The following is a 23749-nucleotide window of genomic DNA, read 5'->3' as shown; positions in this document are numbered from 1 at the left end:
GGAATAACAAGGCCTACCTCACAGGGCTGCAAGGATTAAGTGGGTGTTCCATATTATTAGGAACACATGTCCTTCAGGAGCAATCAGGAAATGACATCCCATAAAGTGCAAAATGGGCTGGGTGTGGTGGCTCGCACCTGTAGTCCCAGCACTTTGGGAGGTCCAGGCAGGAGGATCACTTGAGGCCAGGAGTTCAAAACTAGCCCCAGCAACACAGTAAGACCCTCTCTTTACAGAAAAAAATTAAAAATTAGCCAGGCATGATGGTGTATACATGTAATCTTAGCGACTTGGGAGGCTGAGGTGAGAGGCTCTCTTGAGCCCAGGAGTTTAAGGTTGCAGTGGGCCATGATTGTGTCACAGCACTCCAACCTGGGCAAGAGAGACCTTGTCTCAAAAAAAAAAAAAAAAAAAAAAGTGCAAAATGGCAGTGTGACCTTATGGCTGTCTTTCCTTATTCTTTCCAGATTAAGATAATTCACTGTGGGTGGCACCTGGCTTCTTGCTCACATCTCAGCCATATGTCCCAGTGTCAGGAGATGCAGGCCTGGCTCTCCTTTTCTGGAGCTGCAATTTAGGACTTGTCCTGTCTGGGCCTCATTCTCACCCTATCAATCACACATAGGCCCGTAGAGGCAACTCTGACCTAGACAACAGCAAAGTTAATAAAAGGGATGAGAATAAGCCCTTTGTGGCTACTGTGATGGGGAGGAAGCAATGCTTGCTCTTTTCAGCCCAACATGCACTAAGAACCAGACCAAGCATGAGTCTGTTAGCCAGGAATGGCCTACTGTCATTGTCACCATTGCTGGGTCATGTGGCCTGGCAGGTGGGAGCAAGCTGACTTTAGGTGAAGTCTGGTGAGAATTCCCATGTTGCAGCATGCAGGAAACTCCAGGGCCAGCAGCCGTGCCCTCACTGGGGGCTCCAGTTGCACTTGCCTCTTGGCAAAGAATTGATATGAGCCGTAGCAGGTTATGGGCGTGGAGGACACTGGATGGGTGACTTTGGCTGAGCCTCAAAGGGTGACCCACCCTCATCCTCAAAGAAGAAAAGCTGATTGGCAAAAACAAAAACAAAAACAAAAACAAACAAACAAAAAACCAACAGTGGAGAGCACATCTTTTCCAACAGACAGAGCCAATCCGAGGGATCTTAGAACCTTGAAGCTCAGCAACAGAGTCTTAGGGAGCTGGTAGGGAAGGCAGCTGGGAGAGAGCCCTTTGCTGGCAGTAGTGGGAAGACACATGGGCACTGTGGAGGAGGCAGAAGTGCTGGCAGAGAAAGAGTGACAGGACTTCAAGGAGCTTCGGTAATTTAGTGAGCAATTGGACATCAGGCAGGAAGCAAGCACAGAAAGTCCAAAATGTCCTTGAATTCAGGAAAGTCCCCAGGCCAGTCTGATTGCACTAAACCAAGGCTTCCATCGCCCCCATCAGTGAATTATTTAAGAAGCTATTTCCAACGTGTGGCAGCGTGGACATTATGTTGAGTGAAAGAAGTCAGATAAAGGAGTAGGTTTTCTATAATTCCACTTATGTAAAATTCAAGAAGAGACAAAACCAGTTTATGCTGGTAGAAATCTGAACAGTTATTTTCTAGCTAAGGATTGGCTAGAACGGGAGGGGATTGGCTGGAATGGGAAATAGAGAGTGTTCTGGGGTGATGGAAAAGTTTTCTATCTTGATTGGGTGGTGGTTACTTGGGTACAAAACTCAATGAACAGTACAGTTGAAATCTATGCATTTTATTGATTTAAATTGTACTCCAATAAAATTAACTGATACACACACACACACACGCACGCACTTACTTCTTGCTATGTATAATGCATTGTGATAAGTGTCTATAAGTTACAAGCAAATCAAAATAGAACCTGCCCTCAGAAAGTTTACAAAGAATTATAGTAGAAACAAGATAAAAGACATGGTCCCCAAGTCATAGTTCAAGATAGATAGTGACAGCGTCCCCAAGAGAAATAGGTATAAAGTGACATCAGTAGTCAGAGGAAGGAAGACGACCTCTGGCTGAAGGGACTCATTAGGCTTCATGGAGGAGGCAGCACTTGAGCTGGGCCTTGAAAGAGGTGGACAAGAACATTCCAGGTAGAAGAAAGAGCAAAATAAAGGCAGCGTGGCAGTATGGCTGGGAAGCAGCAATAGTTCATCTGCTTGAGATGCAGATCATGAGAAGAGAGCAATGACAAAAAAGGTTACAAAGCAAGTAGGATCAGTTTGTACAGGACCTTGAATGTCAGGCAAAAGAGTGGATTTAGCCTGGCCAACATGGCGAAACTCTGTCTTTACTAAAATATACAAAAATTAGCCGGGTGTGGTGGCACACACCTGTAATCCCAGCTACTCCAGAGGCTGACGCACGAGAATCGCTTGAACCCGGGAGGCAGAGGCTGCAGTGAGCCCAGATCACGCCACTGCACTCCAGACTGGGCAACAGGGTGAGACCCCATCTGAAAAAAAAAAAAAAAAGAGAGTGGATTTGAGCAGAGGTGTGATATTGCTGTAATGTACAGGTTGGACCTGGGTGGAGAGAGTATGGAGGGTGGGCCTACTTTTCACAGCCATATAGTGCCTTGCCTTCCAAAGACTGATCCATAGACCAGAAGCATTGGCATCACCTGGGAGCTTGCTAGAAAGGCAGAGTATCTAACCAAGAAGACCTAGTGCACCACAATCTGCATTTTAACAAGATACATGGATAATTCTTAGGCAAATCTAAGTTTTAAAAGCACTGATCTAGATGTTAAAAGCACTGGTCTGGAAGTGAGATAATGGATTGTCTTCTGTACCAGCAGAGGGATCTGAATCAATCCTTCACTACCCCAAATCCTGAGCCCAACAGGGAATATAGGTAGATAATTGATCCTCATGTTGCTGTTTGACGTAACAGGAAGGACAGTTCAATCCTGGAGGCCCACTGAAGAGCATGTGAAATCTCAGGGTGAGGAAGGGGTAAACAATCTAAAGCAGAAATGCTGTCACTCTTCCATTTCATGTTGGCATCTCATCATGAAGGCCTCTGTGGATTAGTGATGCTCATCATCATTAGTGATGATGTGGATCAATGCTCTTGGGCTATGGTGAGTGGAAGCCAAGATTATTTCATCTGAATAATTTATCATCCCCCAGCATTAAATATTGAAGATGTGGCCAGGTACTATTGAGTTCTTTTAAAGGTTATGGACCCTGCTGATCCTTTCTTGGCTGCCATTTTTAATTAGGTCTCCATATGCTTTGCCAGACTTGGTCAGACAACAAGCTACTTCTGTCTGAACCGTCTGTGAATTCTCCTGTTTTGAGTCTCCACTTAGCCAGCACCTTGACTTGTCAATGATGAAGAAGCAAGAGGCAAGGAAATCATGGGCCCTTCCCACTCAAAGGCTGACTCCCTTCAAGCTGCTTCCCAGTGTTTCTGCTTCATTGATGATCTTACATCACCTTCCAGAGAGTGACGGAGGACTGGCAGAAAGGATGTAAGCATGGGCCATTCCGAATATACTAAGAACTTAGTGAAGACATAGGGATCTATAACTTCCATTCAGACTCACAGGGAATGTTCTGGAGATAGGTCATGGTTCTCCTTTAACTACAAATCTGGCATCAGGTCTCAGGGAATGCCTGACAGCTTCAAAAGAAGTCATGAATCTAAATAGCAACAACCGAAAATGCTGAGTTCAGACTCCCAGTCTATTCTGACAAGTATTAGCAGGAGTGCTTTAATTGCTAGCACCTGGGAAAAACAGGCATTCAAGTTCTGTTGTGAAAAGACCAAGCTGACAGTCAAGAGACCTCACCTGGGCATGAAGATCAGTTCTGCCTTCTCTTGTTCTTCTTCATACCAGCGGAATGACTTCATGAGTTATTTGATCTATTTGAGTCTTAGTTCCTCATTTGCACAATGTGAACAAAAACACTGCATCAACGGGATTTTGTGAGAATCTCTGAGTGTTCTGAAGCAGTTCAGCCACATTAACACCAGAACCTGCTGATGAATTCCAGTTCTGTAAAAGAATCTAAGTAGCCCAAAAGGCCCTACTATAAGGAATCCCATTCCTCTTGTACAAAGAAGCAAATAGGCTTTAATCTCGTTGAAAGAGTAGTTTGGGAGCATCTTTTTTAAAGAAACCAGAATAGAAAATTATTTTGAGTGCATCTTTAGGGGAGGCATTCTTTTCCATTACCCAGCCTACCATATAGAACTGTCTTCAGAGCACTTAAGAAAACCAAATCTAGAGATGGCACAGGCAGACCTGTCTTCTCTGGAAAACTCAGAACCTGGAGCATGCCTGCTCTGGCCCCTGGCCTCTCATAAAGCAACTCTCTCCCACAGATTAGGAATCTTTCAAGAAGAGGCTTTTGTGGTTCTCATTTGTGCTATTGCTGTCAGGTTAGAATCTTTGCTCTTTCTCCAGCAAAGAGGGAGAAAAGTGATTACAAGACTCTTTTACTATCCTATATTTGTTGCTAGCCTGAACAACCTCTAAAGATCTTCCAAAAGTCAAGATTCTGAGACTGTTCAGAACTCTTACAGACTTCTTGGCATACATTAAAATGTGCAAAGAACACCTCCAGTGTCAGCAACAAACAAACGAACAAAAAACCCAAACAAAAACAACAACAAAAAACCTCTCCAGGAATAAGCCATTCAAAAGAAGTTGCATTCTTTTGGAGAATCTCAGAAGTACAGTTTGAGAGAAATAAGATTGATCTAGAAAGATGATTTTCCCACTCACGTAGTCACATTCCTGCTTGAGAATTTATAATGATCTGTCTGGTTTCCTAGTTCTGTATGTATTTATTCATTCACTGGTAAACATTTGTGGAAATGCCTATATTTGCCAGGTACTGTGACTGTGGGGTTATAGCAGGAACACGAGAGGGATATGGTCCCTGCCCCATAGAGTGCATACTGCAGAACCTCAGTTCTGACAGCCCTCTCCTAAACTCTGGAGTTCATTCTTTGCCCAGTCAGAAGGAATTTAAAATACAGTCCCATAAGATTATAATGGAGCTGAAAAATTTCTATAGCCTAGTGACATTGTAGCTGTTGTAAAGTCATATCACACTTACTGTATTTTAAAAATAAATTTAGCATAGCCGAAGTGTACAGAGTTTGTAAAGTCTACAGTAGTACACAGTAATGTCCTAGGCCTTCACATTCACTCACCACTCACTCACCCAGAGCAACCTCCAGTCCTGCAAACTTCATTCATGGCAAGTGCTTTATACAAGAGTATCTTTTTTTTTTAACCTTTATATCAAATCTTACTGTATCTTTTCTATATTTAGAAATGTTTAGATACATAAAATATTTACCATTGTGTTTCAATTGTCTACAATAATCAGTACAGTAACTTGCTGTACAGGTTTGTGTCCTAGCAGCAGTAGACTATAGCATATGATCTAAGTGTGTAGTAGGCTACACCATCTAGGTTTGTGTAAATGAACTCCATGAGTTCACACGATGATGAAACTGCCTAAGGATGCAGTTCTTGGAATGTATCCCCAATGTTAAGCAACACAGGATTGGACTCTAATATCCCAGTGACTCATCAAATCAGCCCTGCTCTAATCTTAAATGCTGTTGGTTCAAGTAGCTCCAGCCTTCCCTCTGAAGTATAGCAAAGGAGGAACAGCATGATGCCTGGGATCTGATAGACCAGGGCTCCAACTTGGCTCACCCACTTTGTGGCTGTGGGGTGGGGCTTAGGATGAATTATATAAGTTCTCTAAGCTTTAGTGTCTTATCTGTAAAATGGGTATGTTGGAAGGCTTAAGCAAGCTGAGTTTTGAGAAGTGCCCTGTTCAGGGCCCAGTACAGTGAGTATCCAATAAATAAATGATGGCCATTATTACTATTATTCCCCTGTGTTTGTTTAACTGGTCTTGTCCTATAATCTTGTACTTGAGTCCCTGTCCTAGTACTTTGGCCTGAGACTAGCATCTTGCCCTACTCATTTAACAACATTTTTCTCATCACTTTATATTATGAAATTTTCAGGCACAAAGAAAAGTTGAAGGAATTTTAAAGTGAACATCCGTATACCAACCACCTAGACTTTACTATTTTTTACTGTCTTTGTTTTATCACATATGTATCTATTTTTCCATCCCTCTATTCATCCATCAATCCATTTAACTTTTTTCTTTTGAGGTAAATTTTACAATCAAAGCAATGCTCGAATATTTAATGTTATGATTTGTTGAGTTTCGATAATTGCCTAAATCTGTACAACACAAACCCCTATCAAGGCATAGAATGGTACCGTAATCCCAGAAAGTCCCTTATGCCAGCTAATTCCCACCATTCCTTCCTCCCCAGTGGCACCATCAATCTGATTTATTTTCTATCACCGTTTTTTTTGATGGATAGCTCTCTTTTTTGTGTACATTCATTTTGCTTATTCTAGATTTCAAATAAATGTAATTATAATATATATACAGTAGTACATACTCTTTTTTGTCTGGTTTCTTTCACTTAGCATGGTTTTGAGATTCATTGATGCTGTTTTGTGTATTAGTAATTTGTTCCTTGTTATTACTGAGCAGCATCACATTATACGAATATACTGCAGTTTGTATATCTGTTTTCCTATTGATAGATACCTGGGAGTTTCTTAGTTTTGGATATTATAAATCTGAGCTCTTTTAATAAATATATATTTCATTTCACTTGGATAAATGCCTAGCATAGAACTTCTGGGCCGTAGGGTAGGTGTATGCTTAGTCTTACAAGAAACTGCCAGATACCACTATACCTCCACCAACAACATATGAGTTCCAGTCACTCCACTTCCTCACCAACATTTGTTGTTGTCAGTGTTTTTAATTTTAGACATTCTCGTGGCTATGTAATGGTATGTCTTTTGGTTTTAATTATTTGCCGCTCCCTGATGACTAATGGCATTGAACAACTTTTTACGTCCTTATTGGCCATATGTATACCTTCCTTGTAAAGTATCTGATCATATTAATTGACTACTTTATAGTTGTCTTTTTATTATTGAATTATAGTAGTTCTTTATCATCCTAGATAATAGTTTCTAGTTGTGTGAATGTTTTATCCAAGTCAGCAGCTTGCCTGTTTTTCTTAACTGTCATTTGATGAGCAAAAATTTTCAATTTTGATAAAATCTATCATTTTTTTTCTTTTATTATTGTTATTTGCTGTTTCCTATCTAAGAAATGTTTTCCTACTCTTAAGTTTTAGAGACATGCTTTCCCTTAAAAGCTTTATTATGTTTATGTTAACTGCTATGTTCAGGTTTACGCACACATCATGTAACATTTTCTGTTTGATGGGAGGTAGGTGCTGAGGTTTATTTTTTAGCATGTGAGAATCTAGTTGTTTCTATATCATTTATTGAAAAGGCATTATTTTCTTTATTGTATTGCTTTAGCACCTTTGTGGAAAATCAAATGAACATTTGCTTCTGACCAAGATGATGTAACAAGTACCAGACTGACCGCTGAGACTTAAAATACTAAAAACCTTAAGGAAAATCTGTGAACCAATGGCTTCCACACTGGGCAACAGGCAGCATGAGAAAGTCATCCCCCTGACAGGGGAGGCAAGTGAGGCGGCCCGCGACGGCCCCAGCTGACTGTCTGGAGAGTCTCCGAGCTGCAGCGCTGGGAGGAGGGACCCGTGCAGAGCCTGGTTGTGTCACCGCTGAGGAGTCCGCATGGAGGCCCCGGAGGCCACCGCCTGCCGGACGCAGAGGAGAGGGCCGCCCAGGACCCGGAAGTGACCCGGAAGTGGGCGCTCACAGCCGCGGGGGTAGGGCAGAGTCCTTCTGGGCCGCTTCCCTGTGCTTCGTGTGCGGCCCACACCGTCCTGGGCTTTCTCAGTGTCCCTTCCCCACCTTGGCCTTCATGGGCTGACTCTGCATCCGCGCTTGTTGCTACTCTGTGTTAGGCTCGTGGTGGGGGACGGGGCTTCTCTGCTCTTCCGTCCTGCCTCCCAGTCTTCTCAGGAGCCCCCCACGGAGGCCTTGGAAAAGAGCTCGCGTGTGAGTACGGATGCCCGCTCCTTGTGTCTGGGGCTAACATTGTTGTGCTTAGGCCACACTTAAGAATTCATTACCATTTTAGCTGTTTCCTTCCAACCTGCTTTTTCTGGCAGCCATGTCCTCCTCCATTTCTGACAAAGGCGTAACAACCGTGTGTCCCCCACTTTGGTCGCAGGCGCTTGTCACTCTTTGGAATTATGTTCACTTCATTGTGTCCTGGCCTCACCTCCTCAGATGGGCTCAAGAAAACTTACGATGTTTTAGAATGTCAGGCTTTTTCTCGTTATTAGAATGAAATCCACATCCTCCTAAGCGAAGCAGAACTCGGCCTCATTCATTTTAACAAACATTTGCTGAATGCCTTGCTTGTCAGGCTCTGCACATGCAGACAAGATGAAACATGGCCTTCGCTGTCTGCTCGCAGAGCATCTACTGAATCAGACGAGGAGCTGTCACTGCAGGATGTGGTCATTGTCTTTGTTTATGACAATTGGGCACCCGAGGCTGTCTGGGACAGCCAAGAGAGCTTTCATCTGGAAAGTAAAGCTCATGTGGATGTCTTGCAGAGGAATAGAGGTTTCCAGGTGGGCAAAGGAGGTGAGGACATCCTAGGCAGAGAGAATACCACACCTACAGTCACAGTGGGATGAAAGAGCAAAGCTGTCCTCATGAGGGCCTGGCCCTGAACCCCAAGTTTGCTGCTGGAGCTCCCTGACAGTCACCAGCCATCTAGATTTTATACCAGACAACTCCCCACCACAAACACAAGCCTATGCAGGTGGGCCTTTCAGGGATCCTGTTGTTCTTGTCATAGCTTTATTATGCCCTCCCATGATGCAGGATCCCCGAGTCTTTGTCATCCACCCTCCCAGACCACGAGCTCCTCAAAGGCGGTGATGGTTTTACACATCTGTGCATTCCCTGCACCCAGCCCAGTGTCTGGCTTGCTAGAAGCTCAGGAAGTGTTGGATGAACTGAAATCAAATAATGTTCCTGAATGCCCCATCAGGGTGTTTGGATCACTCTCTGGCTGCTGCTCCTCAGATCTGAATGCACCCCCAAAAAGCGGGGTGTCTAGGAGGTCAACATACAGATTTCATGGTCTTTTTTTTTTTTTTTTTGAGACGGAGTCTCACTCTGTCACCCAGGCTGGAGTGCAGTGGCACGATCTCGGCTCACTGCAAGCTTTGCCTCCCGGGTTCACGCCATTCTCCTGCTTCAGCCTCCCGAGTAGCCACCACACCTGGCTAATTTTTTTGTATTTTTAGTAAAGACAGGGTTTCACCATGTTAGCCAGGATGGTCTCGATCTCCTGACCTCGTGATCCGCCTGCCTCGGCCTCTCAAAGTGCTGGGATTACAGGCGTGAGCCACCGCGCCCAGCCTTGTTTGTTTTTAATTGCAGCAGGTGGCGGAGGGGTAGGGACCATCTTACTCCAGGCTCTCATTACCTCCTGGAATTTGCAAGTCTGGTGTTTTCTAAATGTTAACTTTAGTTAGCTGAATTATTCATTCATTCCCCTACCCCAGTGACATTTTGATTGCTGCATTCACTGTTTAAATTTTGAATGATCTGAGATTCTATTTGAGCCTGCCTTGGACACAGTAATAACTGCCACAGGAGAACAGAGAATCTCTTGCTCTGCAGCAATGGTTTCAACTGTAATTTTACAAACAAGTAACTTCCGCTTAAACCAAGGAAACAACGGAGGAATCTGTTTTCAAATGTGACATTCTTTCCCATGGGAAGTGCTTTCAAATGTGTTTTGGTTCTGCCTTTTGCTTTTGCCTGCCTTCTTGTCTCTCACCAGGAGAACAATGTCATATTTTACTAGAACATAACTCTATCTTGGGTACATGGGATAAAAGGATGACTTGAAATAAAAAACACTAAAATTTTCTATTTAGTAGTTAATTGTGGGGAAGTTAAAATTATCAGATGAAAATATAAAGAGTAGTTTATTTACACATAGTTTAGTACTCACTCAGATGTTTAAAATAAGTAAAAAACACACTTGTAGTTATGTTTATAGTTTTGGTTGCAGAGCAGAGGGAGAAATGAAATCTGGAGCATTCGGGCAGGAAAGCCCAGGAATGGCTTCAGATAAGTCACAGTGAAGCTGGTTCTTGAAGGATGCGTGAGAGCTGACAAGGGAGGGCTGTCCAGCAGAAGAAACAGCAAGTGCTACGACGCAGGATTAGCTAGTTTCTCAAATTTAATCTACCCAATTGTAACTAAATACCTATTTTCTTCATATCTCCTTTTTATGTACTTTGAACTTTTCCCTTTGTTTTTAAATGAAACTACCCCACCACCTCAAACATGAACTCGTCCCAGATGATGGGTCCATGTTATTGTCTCCTTCCCTGTTAGAACTCTCAGCCTCATTTCTGTTTGACTCCCATTCCTTTTGTGATTTGACTTCACATTCTTTCTCATAACCTTCCTGAAAACTTCTTTCCCCTCTTGCTGCCATCTGGCTCCCTCTGGCCCCTCCCTGTCTGCTGGTGTGCAGTGAGCATGCAGTTGGAAGGCTCCTTCTGAAGATGGATGGTGGCAGGGTCTGAAAATGGAACAGACAGCAAATAAATGCACAAATCTCTGTTTACATTTTCATCAATAATATACATTTAGCGAGTTTTTGTTGAATTCCTACTATTGAGACAGACATATGAACAAAAATTATCTAATATCTTATGCAGTTATTTGGGCAGATAAGTTATACTAAAACATATTAAGTATTAGACATAAAGTGCTGTGGAACCTCGGAGGACTTCCCTTTCAGGAGGTCATGGAAAGCTTCACAAAAGTGATGATCAGGGCAGATCGAGGTTTAGAGGGTTCTGAAGCTTTTGAAGGTTGTCAGAATCAAAATGGAGTCACTTGAATTAAAATCCTAACAAATGGGGGCAGAGAAGGCTGTGAAGGGAGGGTCCTCATGCATGTGTGCCTCATAACAAGAACAGTCACAAAAGATGGCAAAAACTACAGCCTTGCACAAAAGCCACAGTAACCTTACATAGAAAATACTTCTGCAAGGACGTCTATCCAGCAACTGCCGTCTAACCTTGGACTGATGCCACCCTTGTTATTGAACCTTGTAGGCAACGATACTTGATTCAAAATGCTTGATGTATTTCTTCTCATTTTGCCTTTAAAACCTTCCCCTTTGGCCGGGCGCGGTGGCTCACGCCTGTAATCCCAGCACTTTGGGAGGCTGAGGCGGGTGGATCACTTGAGGTCAGGAGTTTGAGACCAGCCTGGCCAACATGGTGAAACCCCGCCTCTGCTAGAAATACAAAAATTAGCCAGGTGTGGTGGCGCGCACCTGTAATCTCAGCTACTCGGGAGACTGAGGCACGAGAATCGCTTGAACCTGGGAGGTGGAGGTTGCAGTGAGCCAAGATTGCACCACTGCACTCCAGCCTGGGCAACAGAGTGAGATTCCATCTCAAAATAAATAAATAAATAAATAATAAAAACTTCCCCTTGCTCCACTCTCCTGGAATATGCACATAGTTTATTATGACATTCACATTCTTATTACAATACTATTCCCAGATAAATATCATTTTCTTTAGAGAGTCTCCATCTCTGTTTGTTATTTAGCTTAAGATTATATAATTTGGATGGCCCATTAACAAAAAAAAACCTTAATCCTATGATTTTACAAAAATGCAAATGTGCACATGGATACCTTGCTACATCTCTCCCATGGTCTTTGTAGAGACCTGTGGAATTGAGAGGCCTGAAGCTTAAATTTCACTGGCTTTGAAGTAAATCTGCCTCTGGAGATGGCATTTGCATTGAGTTTGGAAGGTTGTCTAGGAGTTTGCCAGACACAGGAGGAAAGGAATAACCTACCTGTCAGAGCTAATAGTATTTGAAAGGGCCAAAGACATGAAAAGCATGTATACCACAGCATGAATTGCATGGGGTTGAGTGATGGGACATGACATCAGAGAAGTGGTCCTGATTGAAGATGACATTGATGTACTGAGGGGTTGATTATATTCTACATCATATTTGATTTAACAAAAGAATATTGTGACCACATTTGTTTAAGACAACTTTTTAGGTATAGGATGAAGAATACCTTTTCACTGAAAGTGCTTGAAATGCTTGGTGATTGATATCATCTAATTGCTGAGTCTTGGAATTACTGTACTGAAGTTTCAATCAATTAATTAAATCTATATGTTTCAATATAAATAGACTTTGGAGACATACAGTTAAGTGGAGGAAGTAAGTTGCAGAATGTTGAAATGGTATGATACTGTTTGTGTAAAACATTTTATAAACCCTACACGACCATACCACATTCTGTTCATGGATACATACGCCAGAGGCTCACAGGAAGCTAATCTTGTATTTCCTCTAGGAGCAATGGTTTGGTAATTGAGAATTCAGTGTTTGTGGTAACTCTATAGAACATAAATACCACATGTAATGCGGGTCAATTGTAATTTATATAATATATAAATGCTAACAGATTTTAACTATTCATTCTGATGGTGGATACGTAGGTATTGTTAATTACTCCGTTATCTATATTTTGTTTTTGAAAAGAAAATTTGCTTTGGAATGTAAGCTTAGGATAACTTATACATTTTTTCTGTCTTGCTATGGATATTAGCTAGATATGTACACTCACAGTTCTCAACAAAAAAATAAAATAAATAAAAAGGAGGGGGCAGTGGATTTCTAATCAAGGGTTTCAAGAAAGAAAATTGCCAAGGTGGTTATCTTCTGTAGTGCATGAACATTGAAAGGTTCTTTGCAATCTCTGCATAGTCTCATTAGACTTGGATCTCACTTGCTTTAGAATCTGCATGAAGTCCTTTCAGGATTTTGACCCTGTCTCAGCTGGCGGAACTTCACCCATTTGTCTTCCTCTTTGTAACACTGAGTAGATAAAAGTTCCTTGGAGCCAGCTTTTGGAAGGAGAAAGAGAGAAGGCAGACAGAATGAGACCCTCCCTTGTGCACTAGGCAAGACATGGCCTGTGGCTCAGCATCCCTGCTGCCGGTGAGGGCAGCAGTCAGACACAGGACTCTCAGTCCTTCCAAGCTGCTTAGATGGTTGCCTTTTAAGTGCATAGTTCATATGGAAGCCAACAGGCTGGCTTTTCATCTTCACAGGAAGGAGAAAGAAGTTGCTCTGTCCCTTACTCCCCAAATCAGTGATTCTTTTGAGTATTTAGTAATGAGAATAGGAAGAGAATTCCCTTCTGTCTGGCTGTTTTGGAAACAGATGCTGCACTCAATCTTAAGTCTATTCTCAGTCTCCTATAGTAACACAGCACACATATAACTTCCTTATTTTTTCTTGTTTTATGTATTTTTTTCCCTAGACTATTTTCAATCTTCAAAGAACAGGTAGTATATTTCAAATATGCTGCTTGTTAAACTGGACAGTTTACCAAAATGCTGCAATACAACAGAAAGAATATTTGTCATTTTCCTAATGCCTGAGTCAGCAAGAGCTTTTGGGGGATAGAACATATTTGGTTATCTTTCTGGGGTCTAGTGAGGGTTTGTGACTCTTTTGCGCAACTTGTATTAAGTGTGTTCAATGTCTCCGGTACTATGGGAAATCAAAAGTGAAATAGCAGAGAATATTCCTGATTCTTTAAGTTGAAATAATTATAGAATAAACTTAAGTCAGTGGTTCATGTGGTTTCAAGGTCTACCATATAGCTACAATATCATCAGTGGCCTCCGAATCTTCCTCTTCACCCTAACTCTTCAGTTAACCTATGTGGCTTCGTCTTCTGTGTTGTTAATGATCCATCCCATAAATAAACCTCACTGTCCCTTGACTTTAATATGTCAATGACCTTCAATTTGACTGCCTTTCAACCACCTATTCCTGGGGTCATATTCTTCATTGTGTCTTTACCTGGAAGTGCTCCATCTCTGAGATCTTAAACTTGAGTGTTTACACAGGACTTTTGCAGAGACTGCTATAAAGCCTTCATTTGTCACTGAAGGGCACAAAGTTGTTCAGAATAAAGCCTATATTTTCCAGCCTCCCTACTAGGTGGGTGTGGTGATCTGACTAAATTCTAGCTCAATGGGATGCGAGCAGAAGTGGTGTATGCAACTTCTGAGAACTGTCTCCATAGAAAAGGGGCAATCTATTCTTTACTTCTTCTTTCTTCTTGCGAGGTGGAATAAGGATGTGATGACTGGGTCTTGAGCAGCCATTTTGGACCATGAGTTGGAAGCTATGACGTTCAGGGTGATGGAGCTACAAGGTAGAAGGAGCCTGGGTTCCCTTATGATCATAGCACTCTGTAACAGCCCTGTGTTGCCTACGTTTCTATGAGAAAGAAATAAGCCTCAGTCTTGTTTAAGGCACTCTTCTTTTGAGTTTTCTGTCCTGTTAGCCATTTTCAGTCCTAATGTCTACAGCCACAATCTCCTGTTAAACTGTCTTTTCTCCATTTTGTTTATTTCAACCTCCTTGAGACTTCAGTCCTGCTTCTTCCAAATTCTATCTTGGTATAATTTCCTTCTTTATCCATACTTCTTTCCACCCTCCATAGCCCATGCAATATACATCATGAAGTGATTCAGAGTTACATGGTGACCTGTCATTCCATGGGCTACACAGAAATTGTTTGTGTCTTTGTGTCTATGTAATCATATTTTTGCAGATCATATTTCAAAGGGAAGCCCAGTTTCTCTCATCACAGCAGCTGTAGCCCAGGAGGACAACAATTTTACCAAGACCTCTGACTCTGCAGATGGAGCAGTGACACCAAGCAGAGCACTCAGTTTTGAGAGATGAGGCTGCAACTTTGGAGACAGCACCTCGTAGAGCTCACTGGAGGGATGCATGCCCATTCAGAGAGGCCAGTGCATGAAGATGGTTCTCTTAGCGCTTGTGTCAGCAGAAGCCTTGGATGAATCAGACCTGGCAGCCCAGGCAGGAAGGCACTGCAGAGCATGAGATGAGCCTACATACCATACTTCCCCTGGCCACACTAGTTAGCAGGCATCACTGCCTCCTTAATGACAAGAAGGCTGCAAGCCACAATCAGAGTTCATGATTCACTCATTGACTCTAATGTGGATGCTACATTGTAATACTTCTTCAATCATTTGTCACACCCATAAAGTTCTGAATTAAAGAGTCTAGCTAGATATTTTTCATATAGGAAACATGAATGAGAAAGGTGAGCCCTATCTAAGTCAAGAGTCTCATCCCTAAGTAGGTGAAAATAGTTATCTCCAGAAAGTGACATTCATGGAGTTCCCTTTTGTTTGTGTTTGCTACCCCCAAGGTAGAATTAGGTCTACCCTGTCCATCACCATAGTACCTTGTGCTATAGTAAAGTGGATTTACACCTTTCTCCTCCACTGGACTCTGAGGAGTCCCTTGAACCACTTCTCTACATGCTCATTTCTGTATCTCTGGCTCCGAGATAGAGATGTGGTGGAGAGTTAATCTTTGTTGATTAACTGAGTGAAAGAATCCTGACTACAGTATGGATCTGTAATCAGACTTTAAACTGGACATATAGTCACATAATAACAGAGTACACTGGGAGACTGCACACACACAAGGTGGATGCACGGTGCGATGCAAGCTTCCTGGGGGTAATTTAGCAGCAGTGTATGATCAGAAGTTGGAAGGAAGGTAGTATTGTTGTTGGATTTGGGTTCTATGTAGAATCATATCATGACTGATAGGTTGGCACAAAAGGCCTGCATGAGCTGTACTCTTAACTCACTCTCTTACACTTCATTCGGGTAAGAAATAGCAAGTGGTATGAAATAGCATCACTCCTTGCCCTAGGAGATCTTGGTGTACAGTCCATGAACAGGAGCTGCCTTAGAAGGAGGAGGAGAAAGATTTCCCCTACCTGCTTCATGGAGGGTAGCCACCTGGCCCAGAGCTGTGACTCCCTCAGAGTTGGGGCTGGTCTGCTTGGGAAGGAAGTGTGGCTTTAGGGGTGGCAGGATTCCTGGGGGGCATCTTGTGTGGGTATAACTGTAACACCCAGCTGGAGGCTTACCAAGTAGCTCTTCCCTGTGGGAGCCATGAGTCTATTATCAGACAGAGCTTTCCAGAAAATATCTTCTCACAAGCCTTGCTGCTGTTATTTTATTACTCATACAAGCTTCCTCACTATAGCCTTCTTTCTTTCTCTGCAGAATCATCTCTTATTCTGAGCCAGGAGGATGCACTGGGGATCTCTTAATAACCAGTGCCCCGGAATGAACGAGAGAATGATGTGAATGGAGGATGGATGGATGGATGGATGCGAGGTTGGGGCTGGACAGAAAGATGACTGAATAAACGGGAAGAAATAGTAATAATAAGAGTGAAACTGAGAATTGAGGCAGAGACATTGAACATCTGTTTATCATCTTGCTTGGCTGGCAGGATAGGCGCTAGAGTTATCAGAGTCCAACAGTAGTTTCAAATACAGTTGGGATTTTATGCACATCCTACTCCAAGCCCTGCTCATTTATTATCCACTCATTGTAAACTCTTCATGATAGCCTTACCTGCACAATTAATAGAAGAATGGATATTGGAGGGTAGTGATGAGGATGGGAATGAAATATGTACATATCGTATTTCCTGGAAGACTTTGAGAAATGGGCTCATTCACACAGATCACCTATTTTTAACAAAATGTCACCTTACAGAAGCACACTGCTTGGCAAACATCAACATGTCAAGGCTCTTGGCCCTGGGCCGCTGCAGATACTGGCCATGCCTCTGTCCTCACATCACCCACAGCATCTGGTGCAAGAGCTCTGACTTAAACTAGTTTGTTTGCAACAGTGCATGTGCCAGCTTTTCAAATTGCACCACAAAAAATTCCTGTTAAGAGTCAATGCTTTAACAAATGCCTGGGCAGTTTTTCGGTGTGTGACAGGTCTGGTGACAAAGCCGTTAGCTCCGTGAAGCTGGGAACCTGGTCTCCTCTGGTTCCTGCAGTATGTCCAGCCCCTTGCAGAGCACCAAGCACAAGGTAGAGCTGAAATATCTGCCAAATGATTGCAGACAAGGGGCCACTGTGCAGGGGCTGGGATAGGATTTGTCTCTCCAGGACTAAGGGAGTTGTCTGTTTGTAAGGTCTCTGGGTATGAACCCTGGACATACCACCCATGGGGCTTAATCAGTCTTACTTGAAGATGATGACAGGACTTGAATGTCTCATCTACTCTGTGATGTCATTGCTGAGCTACCAGTAGAGTGGCTACGCCTTTCCCCAAGCCTCTCGGGCCTCTCCCTGCCTTGTCTAACATGCTCTTCTGAATGTATTTGCTTGGATATGTGTCTCCTTCTCTTGAGTGCAGGAACTAGGTTTTCTTTGACTTTGTGCCCAGAGTGTAGAAGAGTGGCCAGTCAGGGTGGGTACTCCTGAAATGTTTGCTGAGTGAATGAATACACGGATGTGAAACCTCTCTGCTACCTTTCACTGATGGTCCCCAAGTGGGGCATGGGTAGGGAACAATAGTAGTAATGATGCATTTCTGGAGATATTCAGAAGTGCTGCTGGGAGATTTCTGTATGGAATCAGGGCAGAGAGGCTGAGTCACGCAGAAGGAGCATGAGCTGGCTTGGCTACAAGCATGGGTTTTGGGTCTGATGGTCCAGGATCTGAATTGCTGGTTCCACTCTTACTCCCTATAAGTGACCTCACCTCTCTGAGTCTCCATTTCCTCATCTACAAGACGCTTAGGGGGAGAAAAAAGATGCTTAGGATTGTTGTATTATATGAGATAATACGTGGCACATGGTCAAGTGCTTAATAAGTAATTGTTATCATGTTTGTTTATTATTGATTAAAAGACTTAGACATATTTGGCCCAGCCAATAATTCTGGGGACTAAGTGGAGGCGGTTTACTGGAGGTAGAGGAGAGAGGTGACGTTTCTGACACCTCCTTTTCCTGTCTCCCCTTTCCCTTGAGTCTGGAATAGCTCAGGACCTGTTTTGATGTCTTCTGGAAGCCCCTCAAGGGGAATCTGAGGGGAGCAGGGCCCTCTGAGAGCCTCCCAGGGAGAGCAGTTAGTAGCTTCGTGAGCACCTTAGTGACAAGGAGAAGACCTAAGCAAGGGAGAGTTGTAGACAGGGCTGAGAAAGTGACTGAGTGTGAAAACGTGCTTCATTCAGGTCCCCAAGTCCTGAACAGTCAGGGAATGATGTGTATAACAGCACTTTGTGAAACCATCAGTTAGCATATGCACTGTAGTTATTAGCATTACAATGTGCTTATTATCACGTGTGTTTATGCTACGCAATGAGTCTTTCAGGTTATATGGCTTAGGCTATGTTCTTTACATTTTATAATTTTTTATTTTTATGTTTTACTTTTTCTTTCTTTCTTTAATTATTTTTTAGAGACAGGGTCTCTCTGTCACCCAGGCTGGAGTGCAGTGGCATGATCATAGCTCACTGCAGCCTCAAACTCCTTGGCTCAAGCAATCCTCCTGCCTCGGCCTCCTGAGTAGCTGGGACTACAGGCACATGACACCACACCTGGCTAATTTTTAAAATGTTTTTTGTAGAAATGGGTTCTTGCTATGTTGCCCAGGCTGGTCTTCAACTGGAGCTCAAGCAATTCTCCCACCTCAGCCTCTTGAAGTGCTGGGATTGTAAGCATGAGCCACTGTGACCAACCTATATTTTTTATTTTTAAATTGACAAGTAAAAATTATACATATTTATGTTGTACAGCATGATGGGTTTTTTTTTTTTTTTTTTTTTTTTAACAGGGTCTGGCTCTGCCACCCAGGCTGGAGTGCAGTGGTGCCATCTCCGTTCACTACAACCCCTGCCTCCCAGGCTCAAGTGATCCTCCCACCTCAGCCTCCCAAGTAGCTGAGACTACAGGTATACAACACCGTGCCTGGCTAATTTTCTGTATTTTTCTTTTTTTTGTAGAGATGGGGTTTCACCATGTTGCCCAGGTTGGTTTTGAACTCCTGAGCTCAAGTGATCTGCCTGTGTCAGCCTCCCAAAGTGCTAGGATTACAGGCATGAGCCACCGCGTCCGGCCGTGATATTTTGATATATGTATATATTGTGGAATGACTAAATCAAGCTAATTAACATATCATTTACCTCACGTACTTATCTTTTTTGGTGTGATGAGAACATTTAAAATCAATTCTCCTAGCAGTTTTCAATTATACCGTACATTGTTCTTAACCACAGTCACCATGTTGTATAGCAGATGTCCTGAACATATTCCTCCTGACTAATTCCTCCTGATGTTATACTTTGATCAACATCTCCTCAACCCACCCCCACCCCCGCAGCCCTGGTAACCTCTATTCTCTGTTTCTATGAGTTCAATTTTTTTAGATTCCACATATAAGTGAGATCACGTAGTATTTGTCTTTCTGGGCTTGGCTCATTTCGCTTAAAATAATGCACCGGGTTCATCCATGTCTCAAATGACAGGGTGTCCTTTTTTACATATTCCTTAAATTTTAATGCACCTACTCCCCCCAGAATCATAAATGAGGGTATTGGATCCAACAAGCATTTATTGAAGGTCACCTAAACTTATGCAGAACACTGTGAGGTCACAAGGAAGAGACCTCTCCTGTTTCCGTGGGGCCTACAAGCCAGTGTGCCCATTAAGCCCTAATTTGTTAATTCGTGGTTCCAGCAAGGACAGTAAGTTGCCTTAGCTTTCCTCTCACTGCACGTGGCAGAGCGGCATTAGCCTGCGGAAGCTGGAAGCAGAAACCAGCCTTCCCTGGCAAGTGCACAGCAGCCTGCTGGGCTGCACCACCTGGCCGGACACACACAAGGTGCGCTTCCGCCCTGGGGAAGAATATCTTGTCATCTTAAATGCAGAGGCAGAGGTAGGGGTTCTTGCCTCTGACGCACATGCCCCATCCGCTGCATTTTATCTGCCACCTGGAGCAGTGATTGAAAGCTCATTTTATGCTTTGTTGAAATGCCAGAGTAATGTGTTAACCGGTTGTGGCTACTGATGCTCCAAAGAGTGACGTCTGCACGGCATTGCTAGGCAACAAGGCGGGCTCCTGTACCTCACTGGGCCACTCGCGTCACTGCCCCGCCTGCAGCCCCCCGGGCGCCAATGTCGTGCTTAGGTGTTAACTGCAGCCTTTGCCTTGACTGCCGTGGATGCACTTTGCTGCCTGTCTGATCTCACAGACAGCAAGTTAATCATTGGATTGAATCTTGAAACTATCGGTTTTGAGGCTGCTTTATGGGGCATTTGTGCCTTGAGTACAGTGTCCCAAATTTCATTTTTAAAACATCAGCTTGGTTCTGGCTCCTCCCCTAAGTGGGGCAGGGTAAAATTAGACAAGATCTGTCATGGCTCTGATAATTCAGTTCAATTTAGATTTGACTTTTAGGGACACAGTGTTCTCAGGGGGATGATGCTTTTGCTTTGTTATTTGGAGTGTTTGCAGCCAGTAGGGTCTAGAAGTGGCCTTGTTCACGTTCATGGTGGAGCCAGCAAGGCAAGAAGTGACTGGTAGGTCCTTTCTATGGCCAAGAGGATGGTGGCTTTTCACATGCAGAAATCCCTTCTGCATTCTTGGGGGCATCAAAATTACCAGCACAGGCAGTTAGTCCTGCAACCCTGTAGCTCCTCGTCTTTGCAGGGGAAATTTTGCCTTAGCACGGTTGTGGCTGTTCCGGAGTTCCTATGTAGGGGCAGCGTAGGGGTTTCATTCTAATTGAATGGGGATGAGGGAATTTCTGGAAATGGTTGTGTCACTTTACATAGCAGGGAAAAGTCAATTGTGTATGTCCAGATATAGGAGTAAGAGGATGATGGAGATGAGAGAAGATGAGCTGAACACTTGTCTTCCTTTCCCCAAGATTTCAGCCCTCACACAGGGCGGGGCCTTGGTGGGGGTACCTGGGGCGGTGCACTGATGGCATCTTCTTAGTGATGAACACACGTTTTCAGTAAACAAAGTAAACCTGTGGTCCTAAGGGTGCTGGGTACCCCATCTAGTACTGTGGTTGTATACTTTTTTCACACATTGGGTCAAAGTATTATATATACTTCAGGGTGTAGAAGTGCTTTAGGCAAATTCCCTGTCTTCTCCATAAGCCATTTGGCAAATATAATAATGTGTCAGTAGTGTCTGAGTTCATCCTTCTGTCATGAGTTATGTGAGGATTTAACAGGCCATGATCCCTTTAGAAATGGTACCACATTAATAAAAGAAACAGTCATCAGTAGCTATTGCTTTTCTAGAATACACTGAGGAAAGGATTCTGGTCAAATAGGTCATTTGAGGCTATTTTGCAACCTTGAAAAGAGATGAAATGAAGTCGGTGAAATTCAAGACGTAATTTAGTCTATTAAGCTCTAGGGCAGAAGCTGGTGAGCTGAGATGGGCCCAGGTCCACCATGACAGCCTACATCGTGTCCTTTAGTGAGGCCAGTTCAACAACGTGCAGCCTGGCTCCATTTGCTTTCCCAGAGGGGTGGTTATTGCAGTGGGTTTGGGGTCAGCTTGCAAGTACCTGGTCAGTATAGCATTGGTGTGAAAGCCTGCTTTGCTGGTAATTACTGTGTAATCTTGAGACAGCCAAATACCTTTCTGATCCTCAGTTCCTGTAGCTATAAAAGTAGGGCAGTCACCTTGATTGGCAGGTTGACTGGAAGAATTCAGTGAGACAACAGCAACTTGCACTTGTTGAGCAGTTCTCATGTGACAGGTCCTGCAGTCACTCACAGCCTCATTAGTCCCTCAGAGCCACCTTGGAAAGATGCTGTCGTTCTCCCACTTGACAACATGAGAAAACTCAACTCCAGAGAGGGCAAGGAACAATGCCCAAGATCACACAGTATGGTAGGGAGAATTTGCACCCATGTCTGTCTGACCAGACCTCAGACTCTTAAATCCGCTTACCACCATGGCTCCCAAATGTTGCTGCAAAGTGGAATTACCTAGGCAGCTTTAAAAAGTTCTGATGCCCAGATCTCACCCCAGACCAGTTACATCAGGAGGTCTCGGGTGGGGCCAGGCATTGATTTTTTTTTTTTTTTTTAGACAAGGTCTTGGTCTGTCACCTAGGCTGGTAGTGTGGTAATGTGGTCATTGCTCACTGCAGCCTCAAACTCCTGGGCTCGAGTGATCCTCCCGCCTCCGCCTCTAGAGTAGCTGGAACTACAGCTATGCATCACCACACCTGGCTAATTGTTTTATTTTTTGTAGAGATGGAGTCTCACTATATTGACCAGGCTGGTCTCAAACTCCTGGCCTCAGGGGATCCTCCCGAAGTACTAGGATTACAGGCATGAGCCACTGTGCCTGGCCAGGCATCAGGGTTTTTGAAACTCCCTGGTGATCCAGTGTGCATTATAGTTTAGGAACCACTAGCTTAAGAAATTCTCCTCTACTGTTGGCTGTTGATCCCAGCTGCTCATTAGAGTCACAAGGGGAAACATTTAAAATATTACCAGAAGCCACATCCAAGAGATTCTGATTTGCTTGGTCTGGGGTGGAGCCTTAAGTCACTCTAGATGATTCTAAGATGCAGCCAGGTAGAGACTGCTGTGCCACGTTATAGGGAAAGCACCCGGCACTAGTAAGCAGCTAGAGAATGTGGGCGGTTATTGAAAGTATGTATAAAATGAAGGTTTGGTTAGGATGTTCTTAAGGTCCCTTCCCACTTGCATTTGTAATTCCCTAGGAAAATTACTATTCACCTTTGTCTCAGTGTGCTGGCTCAAGGGAGGAATGCAACCTGTACTTTTTCAACAAGTGTTTGGAGGAAAAAGGAGTAAGTGTAGGAGCAGCATCCTGGGAATATTTAGCCCAGTCCTTTTGCCTCATATGCGTAGCTAGTTCACTAGTGAGCTCAATTCTACTTTCATCTACCTCTTAGCCAAAGGAACTGAAAGTTTATTTTATTATGAAGTCAGAGAGTTGAATAAGGGAGAAAAAATCTTTGGAGAGCTTGAAATTCTTTTACCTCTGTTAATGTGAAGTGGCATTTTTATATGCTGTGGAAATTCTGTCTTCTGTTTTGATTTCTTTCCCTGATGTTACTTATATATGTATTTCCATTTTTTTAGACAGTTATTCAGTCAGTATTGGCCAGGTTATGCCGCATTAATGAACAATTCCCCAAATCTCAGTGGTGTAACGTAGTAAGAGCTCATTTTTCACTCATGCTTCATAAAGTGAGTCCATGCATCCCGGTCACTGAAGGATCCCCTCATGTGATGCTTCTACAATTGCTGAAGCAGAAAAAGGAATATGGTAAGTGGGCATTGGCTCTAAAAACTTCCCGCAGGAAGTGACACATGTGGCTACTGTTCACATTTTATTGGCCAAAGAACTGTACCTCACTTCAAAGGGCAGTGGAAAAGTGTGATTTTATTATGTCTTCAGAGGGAGCAAATGGAATATTTTGAACAGCTCTAATGACTAACACAACAAAATTTATATATATCTCCTTTTTGTTAGCACTACCCTGAGAACTTTGGCACCTGTCTAGAGTGTATCTCACAAGTAAACAGCCACAAACCCACAAGACAGTATGGATGTTGCTGCCCATGTCAGTAGGACACGCTGGAGGAAGTTGACATGAACTGATGGGGTGTAAGGAGGGAGAGTTTTTCACGGGAATAGGATGAAAGGTGACTGTTCCTACAAAATGCCATAGAAGATGGTATGCCTGGAAAGGAGTAAACTGGTGTTCTGCTAGGGCATGCACTGCATGCTGTTAGCTGTTACTA

The 23749-nt window shown here is 43.4% G+C and overlaps 1 annotated feature.

Moving 5' to 3' along the window:
- Positions 19437-19937: an enhancer, noted in NCBI's record as "H3K4me1 hESC enhancer chr18:8844937-8845437 (GRCh37/hg19 assembly coordinates)". NCBI's record gives its function as "activates a minimal SCP1, AML or CMV promoter by ChIP-STARR-seq in primed H9 embryonic stem cells {active_cell/tissue: H9 hESC(primed)}" and the evidence as "EXISTENCE:reporter gene assay evidence [ECO:0000049][PMID:30033119]".

The sequence above is a fragment of the Homo sapiens genome, chromosome 18 (genome assembly GCF_000001405.40).
Source record: "Homo sapiens chromosome 18, GRCh38.p14 Primary Assembly".
In the NCBI taxonomy this organism is placed as follows: Eukaryota; Metazoa; Chordata; class Mammalia; order Primates; family Hominidae; genus Homo; species Homo sapiens.
The sequence above is the reverse complement of the archived record's forward strand: the minus strand, read 5'-3'. Positions and strand labels throughout refer to the sequence as shown.